At 34.1% G+C, this 25,686-nt stretch overlaps 1 protein-coding gene across 2 annotated transcripts in view; it reads right to left on the bottom strand.

Moving 5' to 3' along the window:
* Positions 1-25,686, bottom strand: part of PCDH7 (protocadherin 7) — a 426,432-nt gene that overhangs the window by 207,611 nt on the left and 193,135 nt on the right. Inside the window, exon 2 of one of the 2 annotated variants that reach the window (NM_001173523.2) lies at positions 18,821-19,037. In NM_001173523.2, the coding sequence (NP_001166994.1) occupies positions 18,821-19,037 (217 nt within the window). The remainder of the gene's footprint in view (positions 1-18,820; positions 19,038-25,686) is intronic. The other variant, NM_032457.4, reaches the window with a different exon arrangement.

Genomic DNA, 25,686 nt, shown 5'->3' with positions numbered 1-25,686 from the left:
AGTCCCAGGGCTTGGGGTTTCTTGTTGAGACCTGTTGTTGTGCATTGGCAGTGGCAGGCCTAAGTGCTCCCAGGGATTTTCAGGCTTGCATTAAAAAACAATATCCCTTGTATGGAAAATTAGAGCTTTAGGTGTAAAGGACATTTAGAAATGATGAAGTACTTGAGCAGTCCACTGAAATAGCCTTAAAGCAGTATTTTGAAATACTCTAAAATATATTTGTATATTTTTACCTCAGTATTACAAAAATATAAGGACACACTTTGCTCTGGAGGGGAAAAAGGCATTAGAAGGCAATTAGGAAACTAAAATCTTAAGTTCACCTTACAGGGTTTCTCTGTCAGTATTTTACTTAAAAGATTACATTAAATTTCAGGTTGGCATGTTGAGTAATAAAAGAAAATAACCCAAATTTTAAGGCACATATGTTACAAATTTTATACTGGCCATTTATTAAAGCTTACTGTATTATAAAAATATTACTTGATTTTACAATATAAAAATATCTCAATATATTAAGAGACTGTCAAGTTTGTAATGTATGAAACAATTGATTTTAATTTAATAGAACATGTCCAAAATAAAATCTTTTGGAAAGGATAATTTATTACTCAAAATATTTCCAAGAGGTGTCTCAAACCTGCTTGGCCTAGCCTATCAAGGCTGGTGTGTGTGAGTGTGTGCGTGTGTGTGTGTGTGTGTGTGTGTATGTTTTTCCCCAGTGAGCAGTGCCAGTTCATCCTAAAGTTTGCTCATAAATTTCAGAATGAGTATCCCAAATATACATTAACTTGGAAGTCAAATTCTCTACATGTTGATCCAGGAAATATTTGTCCTAAAATTTGTTTAGAAATGCATATCACGTACAAGTAGATAGTTCATAAAGTCCAATCAATAAGGAGACTAGCTAAATGAAGTACAAAAATATTAAAATGAATCCTTTAGCTCTTGGGAATCAATGGCAGTAAACTTCGTTTAGAAAGAATGTGTGTCTGAGCAATAATGTGGAGCAATATTTCTCAAGCTGCTAAAATGAAAAGAGCTCAGAGGCATACATCTCTCCATGTAGCTATATTACATTTTTTGTTCTTTTTTTCCCCTATTGCTACAAGAGAATTGTCCTAACCACTTCAGAAATGCCCTACCTTATTCTTAGGAAGGAAATGAAAGCCTTACCACTGATTGTAAAATATATATGATAATTACAAAGGAGCAGAATTGGCAGATGAGGGCTGAAAGTTGCTTAATGACGAGGTCAATTATTAGCAAACTACACACGCCATCTTCTCGGTGGAAACAGATATTTTTACTTAATTCTACTTTGAAATATGCATCTTTTCTGCATGTGTGTTCCTAAATAGATGACATGATTCCATATGTCAAATAAAAATCCCATAATACCCTTATATTAGAATAGGAAATTTACAATATTTTAAATGCTAGCTCCAGCTGAGTCATTGATCCACTTTTGTAAGGCATATCCTCTCCTGAACATAAAAAGATTTAATGAGATATGCTTGAGAACAAGGAAACTTGAAAATGTGTTAGTGTGCATAATATAAATTCCCTTTTATTTCTGTCATGCTGGTAATTTCAAAATTATTTTCCATTTTATTTTAATTTGTTACTGTATCCAAGGAAGCTTCTAATTCTTAAGCAAGTTTGAGCAAGTTCAATAATTTAGATCAATTGGCAGGCATAATTAAAATAAATATTCCCTAGGGAGGCAGGAGGAAAGGTTGTGACTTGTGTTGCAGTTAAAAATATTTGTGACCAAGACTCAAAATAGCTAAGATATTTTCTAATTGAATCACATATTATAAAAATCTTATTATTTAAAATGGATTATCTAGCAGTTTTGAAAGCAGTGATATGGATATGGAAATATTTTCCTATATTCAGCAGAGAGAAAAATTTGAAGGAAAAATCTGAGTTTACACATTTAGCTAAAGTTTTTTTGCTTATTTGGAAATTTCCAACATTACTGAGAATATTAGAAGTATTAAATAAATTATTTAATATATTTTACTGCTTACTTTACTGAATGGTTTGCATAATTAAAAAAGTTAATTGCTTTGTTTCCACAATCTTTGGGAGTCATGGGACCAACTCCAGAATCAGGCTCTTAATGCAATATTTTCTTATGCCTCTTCCCATTGAGTTAAGCATCCTCCCTACCTTGGTAGAAGGATACAATGCAGGTGTGTGTATGTCTGTGTGTGTGTGTGTTCTGAATGAACTGCCAATGAATTACAGTCAAAAGCGATATAACTATCAAGTTGAACCATAAATAAAGCATCTGGTATTGATTCTTCTTACCTTATTTTGGGTATATTTCTTTAATTGGCTCATGATACTGAGTTATTATTCTGTTATTCTGAAACAAACAAGCAAATAAAAGCACCTCCCACCAAAATCTATTAGTCTCTTCCCAATTTTTGTGAAGTAAATATTTGACCGTCTGAGTTATAATACCAGGTACCAACATCAAAGCTACAATTTACAGTGGTTCTTGATGATAACATAAATATTGCTTTATGCAAAAAACAAAAAAAAAATGCATTGTGGTTTATAATACACAGATAGAAAGAGAAATTACCTGAAAGATAGGCAGAGCAAAGTTTATTGCCGGCCTTAAACAATGAGACAATAAAAGGCTAAGGGATTTGCTTAAAACTACGCAATAAATCAGTGCTTCTATTAAATATCAAACAAAAACTAAATGTTTTTCTACTTAAATTAGTTTTTAAAATATAAATAATTATAATGGCTACAATAGGTTTTCATAAGCTTTGAATGCAATAACTCAAATATAGCCCTTTGGAGTTAATAGTGGCAAATAATAAATAATAAAAGCTACCATGTATTAAACACTAAGAGTTTTCAGGTATTAACTACAACTTTCCATATCTTCTTCTCACCTTCATCATCTGTAAAATGTCGATATTACCTTGCTTTGAGTGATACTGTAAAGCAAATGATTATGTAGAACCCTCAGGTAGACACCAATATACTATAAAATAATTAATTTACTAATTCAATTATTCCTTGCTCTATTTATCTTTTCTTTTTGTATGTTTAATAAGGATACTATTTTATCATTCTAGTAAATATTTTTGATGGATAGGTTATCCACTTCACGTTGTTCTTTTTTAGTGCTTCTTTCATTTTATGTGTATTTATAAGAGGGAGTGAATACCAATATAATTATAATTTATTTATCTCTGACACTGTGATGACGTGGTGCCTTTAGATTACTTCATGAAGCCTTTTGTGCTCCAATTGTATTGCAATTGGGGTGTTTTGCACTGTGCTCAGAAAATTATCTCAAATAGCCCATAAAAGTTGATTTCTACATTTATAAATTTATTTGGCATAATTAGCAGTTTAAATGGAGACGTGAATAAGGGCTAGGAATTGGTGCCTAATTGGCAGATTCTATCCACACTCTGTGATCGGTGATAATCTTTACAAGGTTTTGCTCACTGCTCTGAATATTTGACGGTTGTCTGTAATCTCAGCCTTTTTGGAACTATTCTGCCACTGCTCACTGAATGATCTTTAGTAATTACTTGATTAATATCTCTGTGAGTTACTGGTTTCTGTCATTTATTATTCCTTAGCAATAAATCCAGGAAAATATATGCAGGTTTCTTAAAGACAGAGCCATTTAGCTTGTAGAAAACAGATGTGATACTATTCATGTTTTCTTTTTCTATAGTTTCATAGAATTATATTTGTTATAAATACTGGAACTTGTTCATGGTAGTTAGAGACCCATGTACTCTTAGTCTAGAGAATTGGAAACCAATAGCGAATTCAAAAGGTGCCAAGAAACTACTTACCTTTACAGCTAAATATGAGGCCAGTAAACATTTCTGGAGGTAAGAAAATAATCATGCATTTAATAAATATTATGAACATTGCAAGTCTGATTTAATGTGGAAAAAGATTGTTGTAGAACTAGTTATCAGCAATTTTAAGGTATCTATAAATAACTCAATATAGTAAAGTAATACTTCAGAATTCAATACTTCTATAAATAACTAAATATACTAAATACTTCACTAAATATAGTAAAGTAATACTTCAGCAATACTTCAGTAATAATGTATCTATAAATAACTGAATATAGTAAAGTAATACTTCAGTAATACTTTAGCATCTTTTATTAATGCTAACTTCCAAAAAATATATGTCCAACTGCACATAAACCTTTGAGGAAGATAGGGCAGTTATTATCATAATTATTGTTCCCATTGTGTAAGTGAAGGAGATAATACATGAATTGACCCAGGTTCTCTTTCTGGAAATGTGATGGAGCTTGAACTAGAACCCAAGATATCTGGCTCCAATTCTTTGCAAATGTACATGTTATATGATACATTACAATACAGTAGAATTGTTATATTTAAGAAGGACTTTTTAAAACTGAAAATATTAAATAGACTCTTCCAGAAGGTATCCCAAAGGAAAAGAGAAACTTGATAGTCAAAAATGACTCAAATATAATGACTTTTGGTAGAGAAACTGAATTATTTAATCTCCAAAAGGTCATAGATAAGGTATTATAAAGAAGAAACTGTGCATGAGATGGTGAGTTTAGGAAAGGCAAAGGAATAGATTATTAGAATGGAGAAATAAAGAAAATATGAAGCCCGAGAGTCAATTTGTGGAAGAGTCCTCTAATTCTCCTTCAAAAATGAAATGACAGAGGAACTGAGAATTTTCATTAAGGTAAAGAAGAGTAATAATGTATTTTCTCTGCTATTTTCAAAAAACTTCAGAAAAAGTTTAAGAAGCTAAATAATCAAGTCAGAAGTCCTGTACTTTGTGTTCTAAAATAAAATGTGGTTACTTAAAAAACACACACACAGGGATCTCTAAACCCATGAGCAATTGACAGAACTAATTTGATAGCTACTTGATCCCGGGGACATAGATAATACTCAGACGTAGGCAGCGAAAGAAAAAGCATACTGGCTTGATTTCACAAAAGAGGATGAAAAGTTTGGGGCTGAAATAGGCAAGAATTAGATTTTAGATCTTCATTATTCTGGGAGAAAGAGATGGACCAATGTTGTCCAGGAAACTAGAAATGCCTCTCAAAATTGAATTCTCAAAGAGCTAGTGAAGGCTGAATACAATTGATCACACTGAATAAAGGGCAGTAAGCTTACGGGGAAAAACTGATAAAATATGGTTCCGTGTGAACACGTTGTTTGCAGTTACCTATTGAAAGATTATGTATGGTTAGATTGCTTCACCCACAGTGAAGGGAAATCGTAAGGACTGGGCCCTAAAACTCCATTTCCTCGAGTATTCATATAATTAAAGATTGAGCTTGTTTTAGGTGAGAATTACCTGAGAATTATGAGCATTTAATTAATGATTTTTGAAATTACACATAAATCTGGAATTGTTTCTTATGCACACAGTTGTGAGTGTCAGATACCACCTACACAAGAGTAACAGCAGGTAACTACCAAGTAAACAACTAAAAAATTGATAGATAGTTGGTGAATGTTTAGAGAGTGGAAAGACACTTTATAGAATGGACCAGAAGCAAGGAGAGAAATGAAGTGTGGTTATATAAGCAGGCCTAAAGCTATTATTGAAAAAAATCCTTTATATATTTTAAGAAAGAATATGCAAAATCCTTAATAGATGACCCTAAAGACAAGAGAAAACAAACAAACAATAACAACAAGCGTAAGTTAGAGACACAAGATTGTGGTTAGTAGCGGACACTGAAAGAAGCACTGAATCTAGGGAGCAAAAGCAATGTGTTTTTCAGATGACCTCAAAGATAGTTTTGTTTCTGCAAGCCTCATCAGGCCTCAGTGTGTGGATTAAGAAACTCCTGGCCAGGTGCAGTGGCTCACACCTGTACTCCCAGCACTTTGGGAGGCCAAGGCAGGCAGATCACGAGGTCAGGGGATCGAGACCATCCTGGCTAACACGGTGAAACCCTGTCTCTACTAAAAATACAAAAATTAGCTGGGTGTGGTAGCATGCGCCTGTAGTCCCAGCTACTTGGGAGCCTGAGGCAGGAGAATTGCCTGAACCCAGGAAGCGGAGGTTGCAGTGAGCCGAGATCAGGCCACTGCACTCCAGCCTGGCGACAGAGCAAGACTCTGTCTCAAAAAAAAAAAAGAAAGAAAGAAAGAAAGAAACTCCTCCTCTGATTCCATCCTCCTCTTTAGGCAACATTTTAAGAGCTACTCTGATTTTCCTTGGCTCTCCTTAAAGAAAGGGTATTGCTTTGAAGAGGAGGCAGAGACTTTCTTATCTACTGAATGGGATATTCTCCTGTTCTAAGTTCAATAAACCGTTGTTACAGTTTGACATTAGGATCTTGTAATATTGTCGAGACTTGGTTATCATGCTTGGCTCTGTACAATTCTGAGGCCGTGATAAAATTGTGTTTTATGGATCTAGAAAGCAGTTTACAGATACCACCCAGAGGCCACTCTGTAATCAGCCAGGTAGCCTGCTCTTGTCACATACCACATTTACATACATTCTATTTAATGTTCCAGGACAATGGGGAGTGCATACACATGTCAAAAAATGGACATTAGTAGAGATTTTCCATGAAACAAATATACATATGAGTGATTAAATGGGAGTTGCATTTTTTACTTGGAAATTATTTTGTAGCAATTGTTTAGATTATCTTGAACTGGAAGACTTTTTATCGATATAGTGCTTATACATAACTCCTATAAAGCAAAAATGAACACAAAGAAATAATAAATTTATGTGACATTGGTGGTTTCATTTCTTTAGGTTAAAAACAACATTAAAAGTGATATCTTCCTGACAAATCATTATTAGTATGACTTTGCATACAACATATTTGGAAGCATTTCTTTCCTTGGATGGTGCACTAGCTGTGGTAGACATCAGTGACGTGACATTTCTGTGGTGCTATGCAAACATCAAATGGACTGGAATTAGTCCTTTTACTATACAATTTGAATTTATTTCTCATTCAGATTCTATTTCCGTGATTTATGTTTTGAAGCACACCTACTTACATAGTATTACTGACAACTGATAGTACTGTTACAATGTCAAGAATCTTAAAATCACAAAATAATTTTGTATGATGACCAGGAAATGTTATAAATTATTAGATCTCACCATAAATGTAGTTAGTCACATATTCTTTTAATTTTAAGTAAGTAAAATGGTCAAATAATTGCATAGTATAAAATAAAATATAAAAGTCATACTAGAGGACAAAACTAATTTAATGAATCAGTATTATATCACTCAAGAAAAGACAGCAAAAGCTATTACACAGAAATGTCACACTCATGGTACGTTCTGAAAATTTTGTAAAAAAAAAAAAAAAAAAGTCCTGAAAAATAGAAGCATAAGGTGATTAGAAATTCTTTAAGACTGATATCAAGGGATGCCACTATGCCCCGGCCTCTGATAATGATGTTACAATGGACTTGGTGACCTGAGAAAGAAGTTCTCAAGTGTGTTCTTAATTCCATTTTCTGGTCTCCAGTTTTCTGAGTTGTCTCAATTCTGTTAAATCTGTATCAGCAACATTGGGCCCTTACTTACTACATATATATATTTATATATATATTTTTTTGAGATGGAGTTTCGCTCTCGTTGCCCAGGCTGGAGTGCAATGGCATGATCTCACTCACTGCAACCTCCACCTCCCGGGTTCAAGCGATTCTCCTGTCTCAGCCTCCCGCGTAGCTGGGATTACAAGCATGTGCCACCACGACCAGCTAATTTTGTATTTTTAATACAAACAGGGTTTCTCCATGTTGGTCAGGCTGGTCTTGAACTCCTGACCTCAGGTGATCCACCAGCCTGGGCCTCCCAAAGTGCTGGGATTACAGGTGCGAGCCGCCATGCCCGACCAGTACATATTAACTTTAATTCAACTTCTTTTTTTCTTTTGGACATGTCTATGGAAGGATAATTCCAGAAGTATCATGCAACGGTAGCCAAGGCACAGGTCCTGTCTTTAAGCAGTTTATGGTATAGTGGGGAAAAGGGGTGGTAAAAACACAAAATACCTCCCATGCAAATGTCCTAACTCTCTTCATTAATCAATATCTACATGATCCCACAGGTCTACTTCTTTATCTTCATCTCTGCAGGACTAGATATTTGATAGTTACTACTTTCCCAATGCTAACTTCTTCATTTATCCTGTCATATTTTGTTTGTTTCAGTTTTTATTTTTTTGTTTGTTTGTGTTCTGTTTTTTTTAGAGACAGGGTCTCAGTCTGTCACTCAGGCTGGAGTGCACTGGCACACAAAAAGCTCACTGCAGCCTGGGACTTCTGGGCACAAACCCTCCTCACGCATCAACCTCCAAAGTGGCTAGGACTACAGGCATGTGCCACCACATCTGGCAAATTTTTAAACTTTTTTTTTTTTGCAGAGACAGGGTCTCACTCTGTTGCCCAGGCGAGTCTGGAACTCCCGGGCACAAGCAATCCACCCACCTCAGCCTCTCAAAGTGCTGCAATTACAGGCATTAGCCACCTTGCCCAGCCTGATTTTGTTTTTAATATATTTCACAGTCACATTCGCTGAAACTTACTTCTCCCTTATTCTCTTATATTTCAGTACTTTTCAACATTCTGTTTGGATAACGTCACTTATCTGGTGCCAAATACTTAAATCGTAGTCTGATCTATTCCCAGGAATTCAGCATTACCAGTGTTCTGACTCCTAAAGCTACATTCTTCTGCTTATCTATACTCACAAATTTCAGATCTATATCCTGTTAAATATCACTTGCATTTTTCAAAGATACCTTAAGTACAGGATATCTTAACCAGAATCATTCCAAGGAAAATGTGCTGCTCTTTCCACTTTTCCAAGGTTGGCAAATGGCACCACTTTTTCCTCACCCTCTCGGGTAGGTATCTTTGGTATCTCCCACTGTTCTCCATAGCCTTATCCACATTTCTGCTTAGCAAATCCCTACTTTTCCACCCTTCAAACCACGGCTATGATTTTTTGTAACCCACACTCAAGTCCTCCTCTACTTCTTGTAGCATATAATCAGTCTCTCCATATAATGCCTCTCATGCCTTTACTTTTAAACATCAAATCTGTACACGCCTTTCTCTCTGACAATATTTAAATGCTTAGCAAACAGAGCCTGTGTCATTCACCTTTGAGTCCATAAAAATTTGCATAAAATAAATACTCAACAAATGGTCATTGAATTTTACTCAATGGATTCTTATAACACTCTACATTCTCTGTTCACTGTATAAAATTTCAGCTATAGCTGCTAGGACCTTTGGCTACAAATGCTGCCTTGGTGAAATGTGGCCTCATAAGGAACTGAAACAATGGACACAATTCAGCATTGGGCACTGGGGTTCTGAGGAATGCAACCTCAGAAATGCATACCGCTCTCAGATCATATAGGGCTTCCTAACAACTTCATTAATGTAGACGCTAAGCATTGAGGATCAGAAATAAAACCATGGGAGATATATTTTCAAGCAGAAATGAAGAAGATTTTTAAATAGCTGGATACTATCCTATTGTCTGTTTACTTCCAAAACATACCACTAATCACAGATTTTATTTATACATATAGTATCAAAAATTAATTTCCTTTAACATTATCATATGTTAGTAGTTGAAACTCTGTTCCAGAGGAGGCATTTAAATTTGCATGCATTTCAGATATTTTCTCATTCTTATAACGAACTTACAATTATATTTTCTGGACAATAATGAGAAGACATACATGATAATGAGACTTAATGCCAAAAAATCTACCTGCGTATATTAAGTAAAATTTATCAGAGACAAGATTTAAAAACAAAGCAACCTATTGTCTATATTTCAGTATAAAGGGATTGTAATATAAATACCTGTATGCTTAACTTGAATCTTGAAATAACAATTACAAAAACAATTTGCAACTGCCACAGAAGAAATGGGTTTTCTTAAAAATAAATATAATGTAATCCAATCTACTCTACTCTAATGTAATTTAATCATCTATTTAATTTGAGTAATACAACTGGTCTTCTGAAAATAAATAACAATGACTTCAAAAGATTATTTACGGGTTATTATTGAGTTTGAAAGGCCTTATTTACAGCACACATATTTTTAGTAATTATCCATGTTTATAAGCAGAGAGAAAAGAAAGACACAAAATTAATCTATTTTATAGTTTAGATCTGGATTTAGTTTCTGCTGCCAATTTCATCAAGGATAAATTTTAGAGTTTTTGAACTAATTGTGTTTAGCATTAAAAAATGAAAAAAGGAAAAAAGAAGACATAAAAAGGTAACAGTAACTCAATTAGAAAAATAAAACAAATAATCTGAATTTATTTGGCTTCAAATGAAGCCTCCAGGCCAGTATAATAATTGTTTTTAAATATATCAAAGATGAGTAGATAAAGAGAGAGGATGTGCAGCCAAAGAACATTTCATGGCCTTCTTCCTGTCCAACATTTGATTTATAAAATAAAAATTTTCAAAACTTGCGTCTATAATTGTTTCTTCCGTATAATTTTCCATTCCCTCCTCTGTACCTCACACCACTCTGAACTTCTCTAATGAGCTTACTATTTTTTCATTATAATTAAGTTACTGTGATCAAGGTTGTATCTCTTGAGCATAAAAACTTCCATCTTAAAGGCCGAGATTCTTTCTCCTTTACTTAAATTTCCTCAGAAAGCCTTGGTCATATTTTATTTTCAGTATTGGTTTGTTGAATCAAAATGAATAAACACAGCTTTGACACTATATAATTGCCCCATGAAACAAGAGACACCTATTGTTCTACTTTGCTTTATTAGCAAAGCAAAAAATACTTTACTTATTAAAAACCTGCAAGAGAAGAGGTAACAATGGAAAGTATTTTACCTTAGAAGAGGAATATTGAGATAAAATGGTTTCTCAATAGGTCGTCTAACCTCTGAGGTTGAGAGTACTAACTTGCTGGGCAGGGTGGCTCATGTCTATGATCCTAGCACTTTGGAGGGCCAAGATGGAAGGATCCCCTGATTCCAGGAGTTTGAGAACAGCCTTGAACAGGTGCATGACTGTAATCCCAGTTACTTAGTAGGATAAGGTGAGAGAATCGCTTGAGCCCAGGAGGTCGAGGCTGTAGTGAGCCAAGAATGTGCCACTGCACTCTGGCCAGGGCTACAGAGCAAGACCTTACATTAAAAAATAAAAATAAAAAAAAGACTACTAAACTTAAATATACTTAAACAGTCAAGATCCACAGTTCCTTTACCAAATAGAAGATGCTTAAGAGTGTTATATTTTAGCAGCACAAGGTTTTTTTGTTTTTTGGTTTTTTTTATTGATCATTCTTGGGTGTTTCTCGCAGAGGGGGATTTGGCAGGGTCATAGGACAATAGTGGAGGGAAGGTCAGCAGATAAACAAGTGAACAAAGGTCTCTGGTTTTCCTAGGCAGAGGACCCTGCGGCCTTCCACAGTGTTTGTGTCCCTGGGTACTTGAGATTAGAGAGTGGTGATGACTCTTAACGAGCATGCTGCCTTCAAGCATCTGTTTAACAAAGCACATCTTGCACCGCCCTTAATCCATTTAACCCTGAGTGGGCACAGCACATGTTTCAGAGAGCACAGGGTTGGGGGTAAGGTCATAGATCAACAGGATCCCAAGGCAGAAGAATTTTTCTTAGTACAGAACAAAATGAAAAGTCTCCCATGTCTACTTCTTTCTACACAGACACAGCAACCATCCGATTTCTCAATCTTTTCCCCACCTTTCCCCCTTTTCTATTCCACAAAACCGCCATTGTCATCATGGCCCGTTCTCAATGAGCTGTTGGGTACACCTCCCAGACGGGGTGGTGGCCGGGCAGACGGGCTCCTCACAGCACAAGGTTTTTTTATACATAAATCTGGCAATAACATCAGAGGAAGAATAGAATTATATGTAATCTATAAGCAAAAAGAATTCACAGGAAAGACTGAGATAACACCTTAACTAAATAAGGAACTAAAACAATCAAATGTATTATCAACAAGTGCTGAAATTCACACAAGCAAAAGCTTTGGGAGTCTGGAGGTAACAAAACCACTAACTGACCTCCAAAGTCACTTTGAGATTTGATGAGCGCTCATTCCCTCCTCAAATGTCATAAGGGTTCAGCAAAGTGATCTAGTTTAAAAGGACCAAATTAGAATAAAAGGGTAATACGGCCACACATTTTATCAGAGTTAATTATTAATATTGAGATTAGAAAAGAAAGGACTGAGAATCTGGTAAGCATACTAATTGGACATTATTTTCAGCTAATTTTCCCTGTTAATGTGAATAATTTGCAGCACTTTAAAGGGAGGTGTACACCTGAAAAATAATGCATTCAACTAGAACACTTAAAAAAAGAGAAAAGAATGTAGAAAGACCATAATGACATCTCCCTACCTTGAATGACAAAGAACACAAAGAGTCGGTTGGTTTGATGCCAAGAGATAGAAGACTTCCTTCCCCTCATTTTAGGTCCTTGCTATATTTATAAGTCACTAGTCATGAGTACTACCCTATGGTACTCGAAACAAAAGAAAAAAAACTAACTGGAAAATATTTAAGGTGAGAATATAATTTATACTGGTAATTTAAAAATGCTAAATTTGTGAGGCTGAGCATTTTATGAAGTCCTCATGACTAAGCCATTGTATTATATCAAATTTACCTAAAGTTGGCTGGGTGTGGTGGCTCACGCCTGTAATCCCAGCACTTTGGGAGGCTGAGGCAGGCAGATCACGAAGTCAGGAGTTGGAGACCATCCTAGCTAACATGGTGAAACCCTGTCTCTACTAAAAATACAAAAAATTAGCCGAGTGTGGTGGCGGGCGCCTATAGTCCCAGCTACTCTGGAGGCTGAGGCAGCAGAATGGTTTGAACGCAGGAGGCGGAACTTGCGGTGAGCCGAGATTGTGCCACTGCACTCCAGCCTGGGTGGCAGAGTGAGACTCCATCTCAAAAAAAAAAAACGACCTAAAGTTAATAATAATCCCAACTATTTATCATTGTTATTTAAATAATAATGGTAAAACATTTTATCAATTAATATAGTGAAAATACAACTTATTACTTATTTATAAATTATTGCATATTATTGTCTCATTTAGTTCCTTCTGCAATCCTATGATTTGCAATTGAACAAACTGAAGCTAAGAGGGGTTAGAAAATAATACTCCTTGTAGGAGGTAAAGCCAGGATTCAAACTGAGGTCATCAGATTTCAAAGCTTGTTTTGTAAACCAGTAGATTCTACTTACAGCACTGCCAATTCTTCTCTAGGACAGTACCTTCTTTAGACTCTTTTAGATTGTACTGCTCATTTTACTAGACAGCTGAGAAGCCACTATAGCACACATTTTAATTAGTTGAGTTCTGGCTTAGAGACAGTCTCTATAATCCATCTCTCTATATATTACTATGAAGAAATTCAAAGTGAATAGCACCCTCCCAAAGTGGTGGCATACAGACTTTTGGGGGATACTTGGGAGGTATAGAGCCATGTCACAATTGACAGGAAAGGTGAAAACAATTGCAGCCTCAGTCAGACACTGGCAACTAGGGTGGCACAGAGAAATGCAAAACTGTGAAAATGAATCCTTAGCAAGTCATGTTAGTCTCTTTCTGCAGAAGACGAAAAAAGGTATGACAGGTATTTGGTATTTTAGGTATTGTGCTTATGCCATTAAAAAGTATATGAGGATCTTTGGAAAGATGGAAGAGGCAGCCTTGCTAGAGAAGTTTGCTCAATCTACGTGAAATCAGCACAAACCAATAACTAGACAACTTTGCCTGACAGATGCCTGCTTGAAAATTGGGAGACAGGAGAAAAGGAGAGAGAAAGAGGAGGTCCTTTATCTCATACAAAGATATGCCTTTGGTCTCTATGCTCATTACACTTGGCCATTTAAAATTAGTGGCTTATTCTCAATGATATTTCAAATACACTGTCTAAAAGCAATATGAAAAGTCCATGTTTTACTGCAGCATGTTTAAATAATCAAGGACAAGGTATAATGCATGTAGAATGAAGAGATGAAGGAAATGGAATGAATCAAACAGTTGAGCTTAGCTTATATAAGTGTGACAAAGTAAGGAAGTTTGGAAAGGGAAAGTTCAAAAATATTCATGTATAAAGTCAAAAGTATTATTTAAAGATCTGAGAAAATCAAGAGGCATAAAATGAATTAGGGATTTAGAGTGGCCAAATTTCGAACCTCATTTAACTTGTTATAAACCTGGTTTATGGATCATCTGCTGTTTTTTTTTTAATTTATTTTTATGGTGTGATATTTAAGAAAGTCTACCTACAGAAAAATATATATTATTTCCTACCTTTTTTTTTTCATTTGTACTCTGACCAAAGTTCACATTGTTAAGTAAGAAAACACATGTGCTTATTCTATTGTGAAATGTCTTAATCATAATTCATGTATTTCAAGGGCATTGCACCCAGGGCTTGATCAGATCTACAGATGGTTCTTGCATAGTGGGATCTGAAGGAGGCTCCACAGCTGTCTCCCACACTGGCCTACTATGGTGCCAACATTTCCACCCACCTGGCCAGAAATCACACCATTTGATTCAGTCCACTCCTTTGATTTATGTAATAAATGCATTTTCTACTATTAAAATGCACTTGCTGTGTGGGTTCAGAGAAAGGCCCTAGAATCACTACTGGCCTGCCCACATTAACATACATTGTCAAATTCACTCACTATCTTACTATGAGACAAATGTCTCCATTCTATAGCATAAAAGATACAAGAAAAATTGAATGTAAGAGAATCACAGATTATTGGACCTGGAACCGAGTAAGATTTCAGAGTTGATTTATCAATTTCCTTAGACAGTAGCCTACCCAATGCTGATGGCAAAATTGAGATGAGAAGCCAAGCAAGGTGTTTTCTATATCTGAGCTTATTAAACACTAATTATCATAAAGACTTACATAGCAAAGGCAAACTGGCTTTGCAAAGATAATTTAGAGGGGGCTTTGGAAAGATCAAGTAGGTCATGGCATGAAGGTAGGGACCAGGATAAATACAATAGACCTAAAGAAACCATTGTATACCACTCCAAGAGAAAGTCTGAAGACTACTGCGTAATTAAAATAAGAGCAAACTCTTGCACAGTCAATGCTTGCCTTGAATGAGATGGTGCTTTTAAGCCTAATGTTTGGTTTTTAACTTGAATTACCAATCCATTGCAATATGCATCAATTATTCTAACATTTTCATTGTCAAATGTTTGTATTACCTATTTCCCCCATAAACTCTATATGAATTATTACTTTATTGCTAAATGTATTTTAATGAAACAAATAACCAATTTCCTCAATCTTTGATTAGATTGATATTAAAAGATTAGCATGAAATTATCATAATGATGATAATTAAAGGCAAAGAAATATATATTAGTAATCTTTGTCACAAATAAATGTATAACTAATAAGGTTTTCTTAAAATATTTTTTAAATGGGGTAATTTCTAGTGTTACTTTCCAGGGACCTGTGGCATTCTACAGATTTGGAACTTTAAAATGGTGGATCTCATTCTACATTATTAGATTCCGGTGGTAAGAAATTATATTTATTCTTATGGTATATTCTTTTTCCTTAGCTAATAAGAGAATAAAACCTCATTCTACATTTGGCGGTAATGTGTTTTAGAATATAGCGTAAAGCTTGTTAAACAGGGAATTAATACACAGGCCCTTTGAATGAAATTGTATTCATCATACTACAGTACAGAAGGAAGATAACGCTTTTGTAAAATGTAAGTACATTTCACTTAAATTTTCTTGTTTCTGTTCCTTCTCTGCATTTGTGAAAATGTATTTTTATCATTAGCTATCCTAACTTATTCCTGGTTTGTTAGCATGACATTGGAATTTTACTTGTTATTGCACTAGAAATTATCTTCTAAACTTTACAATGAAAGTTAATCCCAAACACTTGCTGATAACTGCATTGTTTCACATAGGTTAAAATTCAAGAAAAATGTTTGAGGTAATAATAATTAGGAACTAGCACAGCATCCAAAATGGTATTTTAATGGAAAATCCAAATGAAAATCCAATACAAATCCTGATTAAAACCTAGCCAAGCAAAAAACTACAGATTACCTGGATTCCAATTAAATGTGACAAATGAATACTTGACAGGTTTCAATTCCAATTCTATTTATGTCAGAATGATCCATTAATACTGAAGATGAAATTACCAGAATTTAAGCAACACAATTGCACTTTATGGCTAGATGAGTAGTCTGAAAACACGGACCCAACAAATTTGTTACTCAAAGGTCAACTGCTACATTTAGATCAGCCACAGTGCATCGCATCTCATTTTGTCATTACCTATAGATCAAGGCTAACATGAATCACAGCCAGTAGATGACAAATGGTCATATAAACTCTGACTTTCAAGTGTTGGTCACATACAAAATCAGGAAAGATCCGTTACATTATCATGACCCTTGCTTTTGACAGGCCTTAAAAACTTGGTTCTAAAAAAGAATTAAAAGTCGTTTTTTGGAACTCTTTCTCAGTATACTTTATATTTTATTAACAAGCTCACCTGTTAAGTTTTCCATGACATGTGTGTTTCCTAAAAGGTAACCGATATGTGTTTGTCATATATAATTATCTTTTAATTATTCATCATTTCTTTCTTATTTTAAAGGTGATGAATCCCCATAAACTCATAAAACAGAAACTAACATTAAAAAATGATTATAATGCCAGTGGTGCAAAGTCCTTTTTTAATAAAGCTGACATCCAAAAAATAAAGATTTAATTGTACATTCTGTGCTTTACAGTAAGAATAAGCACTTTTAAAAACACAAACAAAATTATATGTTCTCATGAACAGGTAATCTCAGATGTAGTAATACCCCTAAATTAAATTAATCCTGCCTTCCTAGGTATGCTCTATTTATCATCTATCTATATTAAAAATACTGTAATTACATACATATGTACATATAAGTAATTATATGTACTATATACATATTATATATTACATATATCACACATACGTAATTACACGTTACACATATGTAACGTAATACACTATAGTACATGTGACTACATACATGCAATTACATGTGGCTACATACATGTAATTACATAATTATCTTTTAATTATTCATCACTTATTTCTTATTTTAAAGGTGATGAATCCCCATAAACTCATAAAACAGAAACTAACATTGAAAAATGATTATAATGCCAGGGGTACAAAGTCCTTTTTTAATAAAGCTGACATCCAAATTACATATGTAATTACATAGTATGTATGTAATTACAGTATTTTTAGTTTAATTTCTTTTTCCAAATAATTTTAAACATATCTGCCTTAAATATATATTCATCAGCATTGCAATTCATACCAAAATTATATGCCCATTAAAAAAATTACTAAAAAAAATGTAACTCTTAGAAACCACACCAGACTCCCATCCACATAAGCACACACCACCATACACACAGATAAGCATGCTTTTATAGCCATAAGGCAAAATGCCATTTTAACTCTGCAAAATTAATCAAGAGGGACGTCAATCATCAGACCCTGATATCATATTTTCTTAACCAAGAACAATGTGGATAAATAATTATTTAGCATAATATAATTTAGCAATACTTTCATTTGGGGTCCTTTATAATATATTATATTCTAATATTGGATTTTAATATTCATAGGTAAACTTACAGAAGAAAATCAGTCTTTCTCCTGCATTAATATGCTCTACTTGCATATATATCAGCACTAAAGAAACGGATATATAACAAAAAGTTAGAGCGTCTTATGTCACTCGGGGGTTGAGATGGCAAAAGACATAAATCCACTGCAAGTTTTACTAGGGATAAAATGTGTGTGATTCCTTTCCTTTCTCTCTGTTTAACCATCTCTCTCTTCATATTTGAAAGAATAATGAAGTTAGGATGAATTTTACCATTCCATTATTTGACACAAACCTATTCCTCAGGCATTTACTTATGACTCAAAATCCAGAAAATAAATCACCAAATTATCTCTGGGAATATAAACAAATGTGGAAAGTTTTATAAGTGCTATTTGCAATCTAAATGTATAACTTAAAAGAAAATGTATACAAGGCCAATTGTGGTAATTATGAGAATCACCTCAAAACAGTATAAAAATATGGAGTATTATGATTTATTTTCCTTCCTTTCTCTCACATAAAAATAAAAAAAAACCTTATACTTGAATAGGAGGGAAATTCTAATAGCATTTATTGCATACTATGGAGAACAAAGTAGTACTGTTCTCTTTTGACCCTATTCAGTGATCATAGGAAAGGAGAGGTTTGAAAATGCTTTTCTAAACATCTAGGACAAGAAAAGGTAGAGCAAGGTATGTTTCTTTCATTTCCTTTCACTAAGACTGGACAGCTGCAATTGAAGAAATAGTTGCATGACAAAAATGAATAGAAGAAAACAATTAGACAAGACCTTTCTTGGTGACTATTGTTTAGGAATTCTGCACTTATTTAGCTTCCTTCATAGTGGGCCCTGTTCTGATTTATTTATAAGTGCGTTTATTTCTGACAGGATGTTTTAAAATGATGGTGCAATTTGGGTGAATTTTATCTACAGAGTTATGTTCCTTTATTTGGCATTTCTGTATTTTAGCAAATATTTATCACTTAAAATAAAATGGTTTTAATGTCAGCTATTTTATTTTGGTTTTAGACTGACCTTCGCGAGTCTACTTATTACGGCTCACTAGCGTGATTATGTGTGTGGATGTTGTGTTTGCCCCTACCATTTTCCATATGCTCTGCCTCACCAACACTGCCATCCGGCGTGGTCCTTTCATAGTTGTCCTCTGGGAGTGGAAGCGCACCCAGTCTTGGCCCTGATGAACTCTTACTGCTTGGTGTTTCTGACTCCTCCAGCCCGCTGTCATAGCAACTCTGCAGTGACCCCTGATGTGGGTCCTGAGGCTGACTCACAACAGAAAACGTCACTCTACGAAATGGCTGCAAAAGAAAAGATTCTGAATGTCACTACGATGTAAGATTGTAAATGATCTTATTTTAAAAAATACATAAATTACATACATTAAGGTCTACTGGCAACTAATTCAATACAAAATGAATAGATATGTTGAAACTGCATTAGTTAACTATGTATTATCTAAGGCAATGTCTAGAGCTTAGATTTTATTATGGAAAAACTGGAAATTCCCTTTCAGAAACAGAGATAAAAAAACAGTAATTTCACTAAAACATACATTTAAATCTGATATGTTAGTTCCACATATTCAACCTTTTTCTATTCTATAGTATTCACTTCAGATATGCTTTCCAGAAATGGCCTCTAAAAAAACAAGGTCAGTGATTTGTGAAGGCAGTAAATATTGAACTAATCCATTGTAAGAAGACTCAATTTTTAAATACTTTGTCCATATCATACAAAGCTATAAAATCAAATGGGTTGGCAGTTGACTTAAACTGTTCAAAGTACAGCTGACAAATAGGAATTTAGATGCAGTGCTAGGAAACACAAATATGTTTATTACATCATTCCTATAAAAATATTGCCTATGGACCTTGAAATTGTAAGAGTCATATTGCAATAATAGATAAAAGTATCCCTAAACAGTGAGTAGGAAATAAACTATAAAGTTTAATTGTATGTTCTTAATATTACTGTTTGTGATTCGTTCAATAAAGTAAAATCATGTACAGCCTTTAATTTGTTTTTAAAAAATTTTATGAAACTATCCAGTTGAACTCCACAATTTACTATGTTACTGACAATGGCTGGACTGAAGATTTACTATGGAAGGTATTTGCAGATTATCTTGGTTAACCACAAAATAAAATAAATTAAAATAAATTAGGCTCATTAAAGGAACAAACCAATGCCATGTATTGACAGTGCTACATAATAATAATTTGGAAAAACATATAAAAATGTTCTGTAATGTCAGTCTGAGATTATTTTTGGCAATAGTTGTATCCATAAAGCTGCTGCATGAATTTGAAAATGTCAGAAGTGTACATATTTTTAAACTTATAACTCAGACTGTTTCTTTCTACTACAAAGTAAAAAATTAATGTTGCTAGAAAATAATGAAAGTTTACAAAATCTTTTTTGCACCTTTATAACTTGAATGTTCATGATACAAATTACTAATTACGACCTGGACCAGTAGAATTTTAGAAATATTAAGGATTATATGCACATGGTAGGTTATTAATGGGAAAGCTAAGAAGAGTTATAACATCTCCCCCTAATTTATAAATTAGTTTTGCTAAAGACAAACACATGCTTCCATAAAATTACCCTTTATTTTGTCATAGATGGAAGACTAGCTGAAAACATTGTGAATTATTGGTATTTTTAACCCAGTAGCTCACAATTCATGTACTTATTTGAAGTGTACAATCTTTACAAAGTTTCCTTTTTATTCTAATTCAAAGTCAAAATCAGAATAGTTGAATCTTAATACAAAAGGAAAACATTTAATTCATGTTCTCTTCTTTATAATGTTTCACTGAATTGGAACTGCAGTATTTATAAACAATTACAAATATTTTCAGTATACATAGCATGTATGTTATGGATTTAAATTTACTGACAATAAACTTTCTAGAAACATTATTCTTATTTCACTAATGATTCTCATATTTCTTGATGGTAATATAGTTGTGATATTTTACCCTGTATTTTAAAAAAAATAAAGAAATGTAAATACCCTGTATTTAAAAAAATAAAGAAATCAATTTGTACTCTCATTTTTACCTGTGTGTGCATATTTTCTTTTCTCCCAACCCTCACCCACCCCATCCACCCCACTTCTCACACCTGTGACTGTTTAATGTTTTTGGTCTCACCTTGGAAATGAGACCACTGACAGTCTCCTAAAACCACATTGTTCTACACACACAAAATAATCAGTAAACACTTCTGGGCAATGAAATTTTAATGACAATGTTGAATTTAGCTAAGAATGCCAAGGGTCATGCAGACATATTACCATTTAAAGACATAGCAATGGGTTTAAAAACAAACACTTACATAAAAAGAGAAAGGAGGGTCAACTGCTGTTCTTAATTCTATTTTAATGACTTTCAAATCTTTTAGAATACCTTCATTAACACAAAAAGAAAACTCAAAATGAATACAGAAATACATAAGACATACCAATAAACTTAGAAACAGAAAATAAGAAATGATTAGAAATGGTGTTTCATTTTGATATAAAAGTAGAAAAAAAGAGTGACATTTGGGTGAAGTTTGGAATAATTTTGGAAAAATTTTGGAATCTGTGCTTAAATGTTTATTCCACAAAAAGTGGATAGGCTAGCAGAGAAACCGGTGATAGCTATGTTTATAATGAAAAATGTTAACAATAAAATAATGATTTATCTGTAATGTACTATGTAATGACTGCTATGAATCTATGCATTTTGTTTTCTTGATTTCCTACCCTATTTTGACTGTGCATATTTTAATCTCTATAAATTATTTTAGAAGTAAAAATGGCATAATTTTAAAATATTTTTATCTATTTATATATTAGAAAATACTTAGATCCATCAATTCTTTCTTGTATAAAATGCTTTTTGCATTTAAAATAATATCTGAATTTATAAAAACATAACTCACAATAAATATTCAAAATAAAATGTATCATACAATGGATTATAATATATCACACCTATCATTTTTATTCATATTTTAAAATATTTTAATTAGAATGCTATAGTATGGTATCAGCATTATATCACTAGCTCTTCAGATTCATTTTGACAGTTTTGAATAATAAATTTTTTGTGGCCAAGTATTTAAGTTGGCAGTGTGAACCAAATTAATACAGAAGTGAAAATTCTGAAAGAGCTCCCATTGATGCAAGAGTTAAGATTTAATTTAAGTAGTATATCAGACATACAGAGTTAGATGAAATGAGAGAGAGACAGAGAGAGAAACAGCAAGAGAGAGAGGCAGACAATTGAGTCTTGAAAAGATAGTTCAGTTTTACCGCAAAGGTTATGACACAATATTCATATTATTTATATATTCCAGAAAGATTGACTAAAGCAGAAATGTAAAGCAGAGTGTCAACTCCTGACAGAGAATGAATTTGCATTATATATGTAACTGTCACTTTGTTAATTACTGATACTCTGAAGTAGAATAGCTTACGTGATAATTCTTCAACCTAGATGTGACTTAGTATCACCCAGAGAACTTGTGAAAAAAACAAATGCCAATATCTGGTCCCAACTTAAACCCAGTGAATCAGCATTCAGGGCGGGACTCAGAGATCGGGAGTTTTTAAAAATCCCCAGCTGATGAAGAGGCACAGAAAGGAATGAGAAACTTTATTGTCAGGAAGAACATAGGTAGAGGTTCAAAAAGCAATGTGCTCCAGGCAATTAGCTGGTTCTTTAAGGGTATAAAATAGTTTCCAGGGAGAGTCAGTAGACTCCTGGTTCCATCTTGAGACTTAAAAGTATGGTCATAAAGACATTTAGTAAATTGCAGTGTCTGAACTTTGCATTTTTCTGTCTGGGGTGATAAACGATTTTGTGTCTTGTAAATGTAAATTGGTCTATCTAATAGAAGAGAAAGCAAAAGAGCTTGAGGAAGAGTGACAGTCTGCCAGCTCTTTGAAATTATGAAGACAAGCTACAGACTTGAATAAGTACTGCAAGACAGAGATCTTAAAGAAAATTATTCCAAAACCTGTGGATGAGGTATGTGAATGAATTAAAACAAGAGAGTGAAAATCAAAGAATTTCTTTAGGTAAGTGAATTATCTAAATAAAAGGCCAATAATGAAGACATTTTCTGACAGTTCCTTATGAAAGAGGAGGAAGAAGAAATGTTGAAGGCAGAAGATTATGCTAGAAGATAAAGTATAATGAAATATTTACCTAGCGAGAGGTAAGGCTGAGAGAAGGTAGTGGCAGTGAAAACGGACAGCAAGGCCATTATGAAGAAAGCCCATGTAGCTGATTGGATTGAGTCATTAATTCACTAGACCTCCATTTATTTTTATGCCCATTATTTTCCAGGGTTTCGAGGGTGCTCCAACAATGATTCTACACATTTAAGAAACTCAAAACCTTATCAGTACATAAAAGCACAAAAATATAATGTGATCAAGTTTCCAGCAAAATGGAGGCATAAACAACATGCTGTAACACTCAGGAATTTAGGACAGGCAGTGCAAAGGCAGTGGTTTGTTGGTTGAGATCTCTAAAAGAAATTGGATAGATAATACATATTTGGGAGTTGATTATGGATTCCATACTCCATATTGCTAGAAGCAAGCAATTTGAAAAAAAGGGTGAGGGCCAGGCTCAGTGGCTCACACCTGTAATCCCAGCACTTTTGGGAGGCTGAGGTGGGCGGATCATGCGGTCAAGAGATTGAGACCATCCTGGCCAACATGGTGAAACCCCGTCTCTACCAAAACTACAAAAATTAGCTGGACGTGGTGGTACATGTCTATAATCCCAGCTACTTGGGAGGTTGAGGCAGGAGAATCGCTTGAACCCGGGAGGCAAAGGTTGCAGTGAGCCGAGATCGCGCCACCGCACTCTAGCCTGGTGACAGAGCGAGACTCCATCTCAAAAACAACAACAACAACAACAACAGAGGTGAGAATGAAAAGCAGGTCACTTTCAAAACTCAGAAGTCAAGGAAGCGTAACATTTCCAGAAAGGCAATCCTATGTGATCAAAAGCATCAGAGACATTAAGAAGGATGCTGACTACCACATGCCCATTGGATTTATCCTTTAGAAGGCCACTGTGGCTACAGTATCTCTAAACTCTGGGGAACAATTGTAGGTTGGACCAAAAGAAGTAGAAGATTGGCTTGTCAATCAATGGAGAAATAGAGAAAGTGGGAATGTACTACTACCCTTAAAAGTATGAAAAAAGAGAGAAATAGGGTAGAAGTTAAAACAAAGATTTCTGTAAAGTGTTTGATTTATTGATCTACATTTGTGTCTTTCTTCATTGGCACTGAAGAAGTTTTGCTTTAAAATAAACATTTGGAGATGTAAGCAAAAAGGGGTGCTCAACAAGATAAGGTGGGAGCAGAATGAAAGAGAGCAAAGAAGACAAGCTAGCTAGAATTAAGAGAGAAATAAAATCAGAATAATTATAAAAACAGTAAAATATTTTGAGGAATTTTATTAATGGGGTATGTGTGTGTATGTGTGTTTAATGGGAAAGAAACAGTACACAAAAAATAACAGAACAAGAAAAGAATTCTATTCCAAGAAACCTTACGTGACCTAGAGGACAAGTTACCTGATTTTTGGTTGTTGTGCCTTAGGCTCAGGGTATGTATAATGGAGACAATAGTAACTGCCCCTTGCTAACTTACATTCTCTCAGAATTAATGAGATAGTTTATAAAAAGAGCCTTAAGCTCCCTCAAAGACATATACTATAAACGGTAGTATACCTCAGGCCACAGCTATATAACTAGAGTTATGGCCCATTGTTTTGATGCTTTTTAAGAAAATATAGAGCTGGCCAAGTAAAGCTTCTAAATAGAATTTCTAAAATCCACAAAAAATTTCAAACCTAATTATCCTATTAAAGTGCTAAAATTTTATTTTCCTAAATGCAAATTATTTGTAATGCAAATATGTACATACAATAATACTCAACATTTTTAAAAGCTATTTGAATCTAATCATTCATTAAGCATGAATATTTCTCTATTCAGTTATTTTGGAATGGTATTTATCAACTATTTTTGTTTCCATTATGACATACTAGAGACTTTCACTTAAGGACATACCCTCCTATAGGTACTACTCAGACATTTTAGAGTTTGTTACAAATATATTCAAAGGCAAAACCCAGATAATGTACAATTCCTGCAGCATTGTACGTACCATCATTCTCCCTCTAAGCCTCCAGCTGATGGAAATGCATTAGAGCTGACACTTTTTTAAACTACCATATACTTATAATGAACATTGTTCTCTCCTTATTTAATTTTATTCACTTTATTTTCTGGAAATCTAGAGGCCACACGAGTAGGCAAAAGTGTTAAGGGAGAGGTCCTCTATCTGCCATGCTTGCTCTTCTGCTGTTGGGAGGCCTGAACATGGTGGCCTTTTCATATCCTCCCCTCTGCCCTAAAATGTGGGTGAGATCAGAGGAAGGGGTGTGCGATTACAGTGATCATTTCTGAATGAAACTAATCTCAGAGACTTAAAAGGACAAACATAGCAAATTAGGATTTATTAAATTGACTGCTGTGGGGTGTACTATGTGACATATCCAGTAAATGCATTTGCACTGGGTAGTTTTGTTTTCTGAAAAATATAAACAGATGCTAAAATGGGCATATTGGTGAAACTGGGATCAAGAGAAAGACTGCCTTCTTAGGTAAAGAGAAGAATTAGAATCCATCTGGATTGCAGAAAGAAGGCTTCTGTTCTAATGATATTATTGCAAAGGATAAGGCACTCATGAAGGGAAAATGACGTGAGCATTTGATTCATTATTCCCTTTCGTAAAATTGCATCTCTATGATTGATAACATAAAGCACCTAACAGTCACCCTAAATGTAGGCAGTTGACAGATTTAGAGATGACATGAAAAGCTCTCAAAAACTGTACCTTTTTTTCAAAAAATAAACTAG

This window comes from Homo sapiens, chromosome 4 (assembly GCF_000001405.40).
Source record: "Homo sapiens chromosome 4, GRCh38.p14 Primary Assembly".
NCBI lineage: Eukaryota > Metazoa > Chordata > Mammalia > Primates > Hominidae > Homo > Homo sapiens.
This window is presented reverse-complemented; position numbering and strand designations above follow the sequence as displayed.